This window comes from Homo sapiens, chromosome 14 (assembly GCF_000001405.40).
Source record: "Homo sapiens chromosome 14, GRCh38.p14 Primary Assembly".
Taxonomy (NCBI): domain Eukaryota; kingdom Metazoa; phylum Chordata; class Mammalia; order Primates; family Hominidae; genus Homo; species Homo sapiens.
The window spans coordinates 70,025,009-70,035,862 of record NC_000014.9 but is presented as its reverse complement, the minus strand read 5'-3'; the positions used below and the strand labels follow the sequence as shown (position 1 = coordinate 70,035,862).

The window sequence follows — 10,854 nt, the reverse complement described above, 5'->3', positions numbered from 1 at the left end:
ATAAAAGTTAGTCCCCCAGGCAGAGCACGCAGCAGGTGAAGAAGGGGGAAGAATGGCTCCAGATGGGGTAGGCAGGAGATTTCTGCACACCATATAGAGTTGTTGCAATTATTTCATGAGATAACAGGCTTAGCAAAATGTCTGACATACAGTGAGAACTCCTGGGCAAAAACACCAAGGAGGCCCAGAGAGGTGAAGCCAATGGCTCAAGGTCACACAGCTAGTTCATAGCAAAACCAGGCTGAAGACTCCTGTAGTAGGTTCTCTGTCCACTGGCCCTGACTTTCCTGCCAGACCATGTGATTTTGCTGCTGATATTAATCTGTTCCTCCATTTTTAGCTTTCCTCCAGAAGTTACAACTCCATCATACAGCCCGCATCATAATGCTTTTTGCAATGGCATGTGCATCCCATCACTCTATCTCTACCTCATTTCACTGCCTTGTCAGGTATATTTCACTATACCTTTCCCTAAACAACTCATTTTTTAGAATCTGATACAGTGAACTACTCAACATCTCAGTAGACACACTTCTTTCCATCATTTAATGGAATTTTCCATCTATATATGCTGTATGCCTCTTTAAATGTATAGCAAAGTAATTGCTATTAAGAATGCTAAATTAGGAGTTGACAGAAGTGAATTCTAATTCTGGCTGTGTCACAAGCTAAAAGTATTTGACCTGGAGATGGCCACTCCGCCTATCTATTGAGATTTTAGATTTTTCACGTATAACCATTAGAATAGGTGATTTTTCAGGCTCCTCCCAGTGCCAACGCTCACTGATGATACAAATAAGGAGGAAGAGGAGGATGACTGACAGATACTGAGCTCCAGTTTTGTACCAGGCACTGTGCTGAGTACATTACTCTTGTTATCTCACTGCTGTGTCGCAGCAGTGAGAAAAACACCTTTCTGTTTTGAGCCAGAGAGGTTGGGAAGGGTGTACTTACTGAAGCTTATCCTGGTCTCTCCTGACTGAGTCTTATGAGCAGTTGAGCAACGTGTCCATCACTGTGTGGAGAGACCACATCCAAGTATGCAGTGCATGTGACCATCAAGTGTGTGAATTCTCAGGGTTGCCCTGGACTTGTAGACAGGCCTGGTCTGGGGTACTACATACAGGACCACCGACCAGTAGCTAGAGTTAGCGCTCTGGCTAGGAGGATACAGGCAAGACAGCTTTCACAGAGTGCATCCTGACAGAGGAAAAAGGGGCAGTGCAGAGCAGGAGAGGGAGCAGGGGCTGCTTGGGTGAGGTGTTGGTTGGGGGTGGCGTAGAGGAATAGAAGGAATTGGCCAGAGTGCCCCACCAAGACTTGACGAGAAATGACAAGAGAGACTTGTGCCCCATACATAGCACAGACACTTGCAGGAGTAGGCAGGCATGGAACCAAGGTCATGGCCCTTTTCCTTATCAACTCATGAAAGGCACACAAAGGGGAATGTTGATCCAGGCCCTAGGGTTGAGAGCTTGATTCGGCAGTGCTGCATGAAAAGATCAAGCTTCACCTATTTCCACCTGTGTAGTAGAAAAAGGCCTAACACCACAGACCAGAAGGTCATGGTGCCTGGGAAGGTCTTCAGCCTCCTTGGTGGGCACAACTGTGGCCTTGCAGGTCTTTCAGGAACTTGGGAGTAAATAGCCAGATGAACAGCCTGGTGATCCAGGGCTTTTTGGTTTTGGTTTGGTTTTTTAGTTTTTGGTTTTTGTTTTGTTTTGTTGTTGTTGTTTTGCTTTTTTTTATTTGTTGGTGTTTTGTTGTTGTTGTTAATCTACAAGTGGGTTGGTGCTGCCAGCTTCCCATCCCACTTGGATCCTTTTGGGGACCAGGAGTAAGGATGGGCCTGGGGCCCCTTCTTTGTTGGCATCACAGCAGCCCTGAAAAGATGCCTGGCCCCAGCAGGAATTACTTCTCAGCATCCTGACTAAAAATGTCCCCAGTCTTCCCTGCCCCACAGAGGCTGAGCATAGCTCAGGAATCTCCAGGTGGAGGAAGAAATGGGATAGATCTATCTTGCACTTTTCCTTGACTCTTGGTCCTACTGTCCTTGGTGAATGCAGGGGAAGGCAGAAGAGGCCTGCAGCTTGCCCTGCAGTCAAGCGTAAGCTCAGACCTGCCCCTTCCACGCCAGGCTGGGTATCTCTGCTGGAGCCAAGGTCAACCCCAAACCTCCCAGTGAGGGACAAGTCCCTCCCTGAAGGGACAAGTGCCTGCCTTATTTCTCTTCCCCAAACCCCCAAGGCCTGTACAGGCCTCAGCAAAGTGGTGGCTTTTAATAAGACCCTTAACTGCTCTGGGGAAAAAATGCACTCACTGCTGGATGGAACTCCCACCAGGACCCAAGCTGGACAGGAAGGAGACAGTTGCAGTTCTAACCCTTCAAGGAAGGCAGCTGAGGAGTAGGCAGAGCTCCAGGCCTGGAGTCAGAAAATCTAAGTATGATTCCTGCTCTGCCTTTCCAGCTGGGTGACCCCAGCAAGACACTGAACTCTTGAGTCTGAGTCCACACTTGAGAAATAGGAACAATGACGCCTGTGTCACTGGGTTGTGGTACTACATACATACGACAGGGCCTGTATACATAGCACGCAGTGTCTGGCACTCGGTAAGTGTGCCGTGAACCACCTGTCCTCTCTTCTGAGCTGCAAGGAAGGACAAGCCCTGGACAAGGAGTGGCCTGCGTGATCAAATTCCGGGGCTTAGACCCTGTCGCAAGAAAGCCTAGCTGGAGCAAAGGCTGGAGGAGAGGTTTACAAGGGGAATTATCTTCTGTTCACCTGCAAAGACAAGGGGGCAGAGTGTGGCACAAGGAATCTGGAGAAGGTTCCCAAGGGGATGGCTGAGGCGGTCATTTCCAGGGACAGCTGTGTGTGCACACAGGGAAAAAGGCAAAGAGGCCGGTCACGCTGGAGAAAACCTAGAATCTCCACCCCTGCTGCCAATCCTCGTCTGGGAGTTCTCCAGCTCTGCAAACCAGACCTGCAGCCTCAGCCAGAATAGATACCCCACAAAACTGGGGTACAGGCTGAAAAACTCCACTGGGGGTCTGCTCCCCACCTATGGCTACATTTCAGCCTGGCGTCTTGTCATCTGGATGATGGCAATGTACCCACTTTCAACAGCCTGAAGCCATGGAATAGGCTCTTCCCCAAGCCCTGCCCCCAAAGCTCTGCCAGCAACATTCCCTACATTCCAGTGAGAGGAAGGGAATGGCAGTCAGGGAGGGGCATCCCGTGGGGCAGACATGTGGGTGGAGGTAAGAGGAAGAATTACAGAGAGTGCACAAACACCTTTAGCAAGGGAGTCCCCTCTCTAGGTGCAGTACCACACTGGCCACTTCCGGGTCCCCTGCTAGGTTCATCATTGGCAGCACCTCAGATGTCCTTGGATGGAAGTGGAGAGCACCCAGGCCAGGGAAACGAACTAAGCTTTCTAGGAAATAAAGCCTTTTCATTAAAGGAAGCCACCCAAAGAAAGAGGCAACAGCCGCCAAGATTTACCCATTTTTTATTTTTTATAAAACAAGCTACAAATAGTTTCCCTCTCTCCTTCACAAAGGAAAACCACACAACACCACCTACACACACGATCCTGTGGGAGACAAGATGCCTGGGGAGATCTCGAAGATCCAAACATCTACAGGCAGGCGCCGTCTCCATGTGTGCATGCTTCCTCCAGGCCTGAAAGTGGGGCCAGTGTCTCGTGCAAGGCCCACTCAGCTCCGGCACGTTGAGTTCTCTCATTGGGGCTAATGGGAGAAGGCTTCCTTCCCACCTTTCCACGTTGGGGCAGGGCCACCAGTCATTCCTGAGATAACCTCTAGGACTTTCTCCAGGACAGCAGGGACCTCCTTTAGCCCAAGACCCCATCAGATCCTGTCCCGAGAAGGTTGTGCTCCTCCCACAGGGACAGTGCTTGTGGTGCCAACGCCTTCCAGACCCGGAACGGGTGGAGGTACTTTTAGGGATGTCGGGTTGGAATACAAGATGAGGCCAGATTTGCAAGGGTGATCTGAGGAGGGGACCAGTCCAGGGCTACCCAACCTCCCTCACTGCCACCACAGCTGCTTATGGGAAGGGGCGCTAAGGGCCACTTGCTGCTCTGCCTGAAGGCCACTTGAATAGGCACAGCACCTGGGCAGAGGGAGCTGCGCCTCAGACCAGAAGGCTGGGCAGCCCACCCTAGAATCCGCGGAAGATGCCTGTGATGCCTGTGGAAAGCTGGGCCGGGATTTCCCTGTAGCTGGGTTATCACCCCTGCCCTTCTAGGGGAGGCAGAATAGGAAACCCAAGATCAGTTTTACTTCTGGAATTAGCTTAAAGCCTGGAAGCCCATAAGAAAACTTGAGGGAACAGGAAGAACCTCAGTATTGGGTTTTTAAAAAACCAACAAAACAACTTTAGTGTTACCAACAAGGTGACTGACACCTCCCCCAACCCACCCACCCAGGCCTGTGATAGCCACTAGGACAACAGCAGGAGATGGAGGAGTGGAGAGGTCACACCCAATCTGCCCCTGGCACTGAGACAGCTGCGTCTCTGGGAGCCTCACTGGTAGGTTTGCAGGGAGGTGAAGAGTTTCCCTGTTGGCACCGCACCCCTCAGTGCAGGCTTTCTGTCCTGTCCCCTCCCCTGCTTAGATATTAAATATCTACTTTTTTAAAGGCCCTTCTGTGTGTCTTTTTCTTCTTTGCCTCCCCTCTCATGCGTTATACAGAGTAGATGCTAAGCATGGATGAAAACGTTTCGAGTGACGTAATGCAAATCCTTTGTGGATAATTTGCTCCGAGGGTCACTAAGATACTGGTGCACCCACCAATGCTGGGCCCTTTGGGGGTCCGGAGAGCAGGAATGCACGGACCCTCTGAGAGCCGGTACCTGTGTGGGCTATTCATGGGATCTGGACTCCCTTCCTCTCCCAGGGCAGTTTCCATCTCTCCTTAGCCCAACCTCCCTGGACAAGGCCGAGAGCCAAGTGACTTATCAATTTTGACAACTAATGGCATGGGGCAATATAGTCCTCCCACCAGAAAAGAACTCGTGGAGTCCGCAGTACAATTGCAGGACTCCCGTCTTTATACACAAGGGTCAGTCTCCAAACAGAAGTTTAGTAGGCCCAGGATAGAGTCCTGGATTTTAGAAAGCTGGACTATGTGTCCAGAGTGCCCACCACCCACAGCAGGCAGAGGGAGAGAAATAAACAAACAGCAATGCCAATGCCTGTACAAAAGAACTATACAATTTACATATATATTTATATACAGCATATAAATCTCTTTCTTCTCAGCCCCAACAACACCCTCCCCCACCCCCCCAAAACCCTCTAAAAGTTGTCAGTAGCAGATCCAAAAACTTACAATAAGAGAGAGAATAAAGTCTTTCTTCCCTTTCCTTTTCCCACTGTGGTATTAGATATTGGTGTTTTAAAATGAAACCAAAAACAAAACACGCAAGTAAGAGTTATTAAAAGTGCAAACATGGTGGGCACCACTTATGTTACACGGGATGTGGCAGGGCCATGGGCAACGCTGAAGGTTAGGTGTCTGGTGATCCATCCTGCCTCCCTGGACTCTCCACCTGCCCTTGGGTTTTCTGCTCCTTAGACGAGGCGTCCTACTGAGAGAAGGAAGGAGAATGCAAAAAAAAAAAAAAAAAGGTCGGGGGCAGATATAAGCAAGAAGTTAGAGTTGGGCTTGTGAGAAATCCAGCTATGTCCATCAATTTCCCCACAAGTGCAGCCTTTTCCACCTGCTGTCCTCTATGAGGCTAGGTGGGGCACAGGTTGCCTGGACTTGCAGATGAGCATGTTTTACCAGCCTGTCCTTTGCCACTATGAGGCACCACCACTGCAACTGAAATAAGTCTGGCATTGGAGAGAACGAGGCTTGGCCTAGGGAAGTGTGGGTTGCAGGGTGTGCACTCTGTTCAGATCACACTACTCTCACATGCCAGCTTTTCAACCTGGGGCTGGGGTGGAAACGACAGGGGTTTGTTTACAGGTGGGGATGGCAGAATCCCATTGGCACTGACCCAATAGTTCTCTCGTGTCCTCAGCAAACAACCTGAAAATGGGAGCTTAAGTCACCTGGCCAATCCCTTCACCCCTGAGGAGCCCAGAAAGGGGCAACTTACTGAATGGGTTTGTGCCTGCTCATTTTGCCTGGGGGAAACTGCCAAGGCTACCACCTGCAACAAACCAGGAACATGTGACATTGAGTGGCCTTGACCAGAGAACTGGCACCTTCTTCCGTATGCTGGGTCTCTGTCCTCTCTGACCCTCAGAATAAAGAGCAGACTTGGGAAAGAGCAAAAAGTTGTTTGGCCCTACTTTTTGCTCTGTGAGTGTCTATGGCTCAGGTGAACTTATTACTGGCCAACGCCTTCACACAAAGTCCCTTTTCCATAAGGCCTGGCTCCTGCTGGGCACCTCTTTGCAATCCCTCAGCTATCCACTAAGAAGGGCTCTGGTGCTGATGTACCTGGACAGAACTGTCCCAGGTCTTGGTTCCCCGAGTCACAGAATGTCAGAGGTAGAAGGAATCCAGCAGCAGCTCAGAGCAGAGGGGCGACTTACACAAAGTCCCAGCCTCATTCTGCTGACACCCACATCTCCCCACAGGGTGCTGAGCCATTGTGGAAACTGCCACGCCTGCTCCAGCAGGTCCTGGCCTCTTGAAGAGGAGCGAGGAGCTGGGGGCAAGCACATCAAGAGCTGCCCCCCGCCACCACTCCGAGATGCTTAGGGCCACGTGACTCTGTGCATGCCCCTGAACCTCTCTGGGTCAGTCTACAGCCTGGGAGCTAGAACCACAGCTGTACGGCTTCTGCTCTGCCTCCCTCTCAGAATTGCCTTGAGGATCCACTGAATTCATGGAGGAGGAGAAAGGGCTTTGAGGAGTGTACAGCGCTGCAGAACCCAAGCCCACCCGCTGGTCATGTGAGCCACAGCTCCATGTCCCCTGGGTTATGCCAATATTCCTTACAACTGAAGAAAGGAGAGCGGACATGGGGTGGAGTGGGCGTGGGGTGGATATCGGTTTATCCAATTTTACAGAGGAGGACATGAACTCTAAAAGAAGGTGACAGCCCCAAGGCAGGCAGGTGGGAAGCGGCAGAGTCAGGCTGCTGACTTCAAATCCCACCTTTCCTCCACTCCCTCCAGCAGCTGCTTCTCTCCTTGCTGAGTAGAAAGGTCAGCACATCTAAAAAGGAGGTGCACAGCAGTCCTGCCCACCAGGCTGAGATGTGTGAAGCAAAATGGACAGCTAGCCGTAACCAGCTCTTTTTCATGGAGGCTTATGTGCTAATCCTGTTACCTAAGTCCTATCAGTTAATCCTCAGAGCGACTTTATTTGAGAGTGATAAAATTATCTCCATCTTAGGATGATGAAACTGAAGCTTGGAGATATCAAGTAACCCACCCAGGATGGCACAGCTTCCATGCGGCAAAGCAAATTCCGACCTAGCTAGCTGCCTCCAGAATCATGCTCTGAGCCATCAGGGAGGATGGAAGAGAAGAAGGCTGAGCCCCAGGCAGTTGGCATCCTCAGACAAGGCAAAAGAAGAGCGGATAGTTCTGAGAAAAGGAGGCACTAGACCCCACCCCGCCTGCCTCACAGGACAGTGACAATGATCCCAGTGAAGGTGCTTTATAAATTGGGAAAGTGAAGAAAGAGGCATGTTATGCAGAGAATTCAGCTCTCCAGGGAGGAGTCTGGTTGGTAAAATATCTGTGATCCAGTGGAATTTCCAAAAATTCAGTCCCTTGGACCCAAAACTCTACTGGTCCCCAAGCTCGGCATCCTTCCCCCAGCCAGCTTCTGTCCCCACCTAGCATGCAAGCCCCTCGCAGCCCACCAGGGGGCACCGCACGACACGGGATGGATGACCGACGCATAGGCTCTGCTCCCGGAGCCCCTGCACACCATTGACCACAGGGGCTTTTTTCTGCCGCCCTGCAGAGCAGAGGGATGGAGGGGGCAGTTCTGAAACTCATACCTTCTTTCCCGGACATGTTCCTCTACCGCTACCAATTTCTTTTGTGCCTTCGCTATGTACCAGGTACCGTGCTAAGTTCTTCACACACATTATCTGATTACATCCTCACCAAATCGTTGAGGTAGGTACTATAATCTCCACTTTGCAAATGGGGAAACGGAGGCTTAGAGAGTTTAGGTAACTTGCCAAGGATTAAAGATCCGGTAATTGTCAGAGCTGGGATTAAAATCAAGCCAGGCCCATCTGACTTCAGGGCCTCTGCACTTACTCCAGCCCCTACTTGTGCCTGATCATGGTATACCCACACTGCTCCTGGGCCTCTCAATAGTGGTCCGTCATCCCATAGGCACTGCCTGCCTGGAAACTGTGGGCTTCCCCACTCAGGTTGCTGGTGGCACCCTCACCCCCTGCAACACCTCTACTCCTGCCCACGCTGCCCCCAGGCTGGTCTGCTCCCCCTCTTCCCCAGACTCCCCCACTGGCCACTCCCTTGGCTTCACCAGGCAACCAAGACTGGCCTGCTCACACAAGGCGACATCTTCAAACACACTGGGGTCCTTCTCCTGGAGGGGACAGCAGTCTGGCCCAGGAATCCTGAGGCTGGGCCAAGCGCCAGCAGTGGTGGTACCTCACATGTACCCTTGAGCAAATCGCTACTCCTCTCTGGGCTAGCCTTGACTCCTAGACTGCAAAATGGACTAGAGGACCCACAGAGCCTTCTAGCTCTGGGCTGCTTGGGTCCAGAGCAGTGTGTCCTGTGGTGTGTGTTGAAATGGAGAGTGGGGACACAGGAATCCTTTCTGCCTCTGCATAGGCTTTAAGTCTACTCAGCCTCCACTTCACCCCACCCCATTGATTAATCCTACATACCCTCTTCCTCTTATCTCAATGTTCTACTCTCCCTCACTCCATCACACTCATACACACACATATGCAGACACATGCACAGACATACACAGACATATGCACAATGCATGCACACATGTGTATAGACATGCACACATAGCCATACTTAAAGACATAAGTGTAGACCATGTACAAACAGACACAGACATGAACACAGACAGGTGCACACTCAGGCCTACCCACAGAGACATGCACAAACAGACATGTGTATATACATTCAGAGACATGTCACAGACACGGGCTTTCTGGCCAGACTTTCCATAGTCCTACCTTTGAGGTGAGAGGTTCAAGAGGGTGTATTGGGCCAAGAAGAATGACAGTTGCACTCCAAAGCACCCTAGGGGCCTCTGTGGGCAAAGCTATGAGGATAACTGAAACTAACACTTGTCTGCAGCTGAGCCTGGATTGAGGAGGAACATCCAGATGACCAGGGATCCCTAAATCTACATTCTACTTCAGTTTTCTCTGGATGCTTCTGTCAGGTCCTGTATGTCAGCTGGGACTGGCAGACACCTGGTGCCTGGAAAGGCTTCAGAGGAAGGCTAGGAGGAGTCCCTGAGCTCGGTGGATCTGAGCTCACCACACTCAGCCATTGCTTGGCTTCCGTGTGCTGTGCAGACCAGAACTACTAGCACGGGAAGGGGGCCGAAGGCAGGGGCAGTACAGAGCATCATCGCTTAGCCCAGGAGTGCCCCTGGTATGCCTGGGGTCTACATTGACACTGGATGGTCTCTTCCCGACATTGGCCATCTGACTGTGCTCTGCGAAAGGACCACAAATTCCAAGCGTGTCAGAGCATAATGTCACCGGAAGGGGCAACCCCCCCATCCATTCATTCCTTCACTTATTCATTCATCTAACAAGGACTTAATGAATTACCAGGTGCCATGTACGGTGCTAGAGGTTAGGAATTGAGAGAGAGAATCCTTTTGGCTTCAAGGGGTAATCGGAAGAGTAAACTGCAACACAGTGTAAGTTCATCTTACAAAGAAGAATAGTAGTATTGAACTTCTATTGAGTTATTTCAATTTCTCAGGAACTTTGGGAATGCTTTAACTCACTGTCCCATTTAATCAGCACAACAGTCCTATGAGATAGACTCTAGCATTTTTCCCATTAAGCAGGTGAAGAAACTGAAATGCAGAATGGTTCAGTAATTTGTACTGAATTGAAATCCAAAATGCTTCAAAATCCAAAACCTTTTAAGTGCTGACATGATGCTCAAAGGAAATGCTCACTGGAGCATATCGGATTTCAGATTTTGTGGATTTGGGATGCTCAACCAGTAAGTGTAATGCAAATATTACAAAATCTGAAAAAGTTCCAAACACTTCTGGTCCCAAGCATTTCAGATAAGGGACACTCAAGCCGCATGTAGTGAAAGAGCGAGGCCGGGACAGAGGCAGGGTTTGAACCATTGACTCATTGCTGAGTCCTGGAGACTCAGAGTACTATGGGAACAGAGAAGCATCCGCGTCAGACAGGCATGCCCAGAGTAATGAAGTCAGTCACACACCAGTAAGCCCCAGAACCAAGGCCAGAAACCAGCCATGGCGGGGCGGGCGGTGGGAAGTGGATCCCAAGCCCAGGTTCCTATGGGAACCCATCCATTTCCCATGCTATTCTTTGGGTTTACTCTGACAACTGAGGAACAAGGAAAAGGCCTTTTTATCTTCTTCTGCTAAACTCTCTCCTTAGGAAATCTCAGCTTTTCCAAAGCTTCCATTTCAAATAAGTCGGCATCACCCAAATCTGCATCTTCAGACCCTTCACCTGCATTACAGAGCCACTCATCCTTCATGTGCATCCAACTCAACGTGTCCAAACCATACTTGGGCACCCTCTACATCCCTCTATACTTAACCTGCTCTTCCTTCCATGTTGCCCATCTCAGTGAGCAGCCATGCCTCCAGCTGAACAAACCTACCTTTGTCCCATACCTAAC

The 10,854-nt window shown here is 50.4% G+C and overlaps 1 protein-coding gene across 4 annotated transcripts in view, besides 1 other annotated feature; it reads right to left on the bottom strand.

Moving 5' to 3' along the window:
* Positions 3,057-3,351: a silencer, noted in NCBI's record as "tiled region #1041; K562 Repressive non-DNase unmatched - State 23:Low". NCBI's record gives its function as "represses a minimal TATA promoter and a strong SV40 promoter by Sharpr-MPRA in K562 cells {active_cell/tissue: K562}" and the evidence as "EXISTENCE:reporter gene assay evidence [ECO:0000049][PMID:27701403]".
* SMOC1 (SPARC related modular calcium binding 1) overlaps positions 3,497-10,854 on the bottom strand; it is a 152,951-nt gene continuing 145,593 nt past the window's right edge. For 2 of the 4 annotated variants that reach the window (NM_001425244.1, NM_001034852.3), the window contains exon 12: positions 3,497-5,621. In NM_001425244.1, the coding sequence (NP_001412173.1) occupies positions 5,605-5,621 (17 nt within the window). In that variant the 3' untranslated portion in view covers positions 3,497-5,604. The remainder of the gene's footprint in view (positions 5,622-10,854) is intronic. The other 2 variants (NM_001425245.1, NM_022137.6) reach the window with 1 other exon arrangement.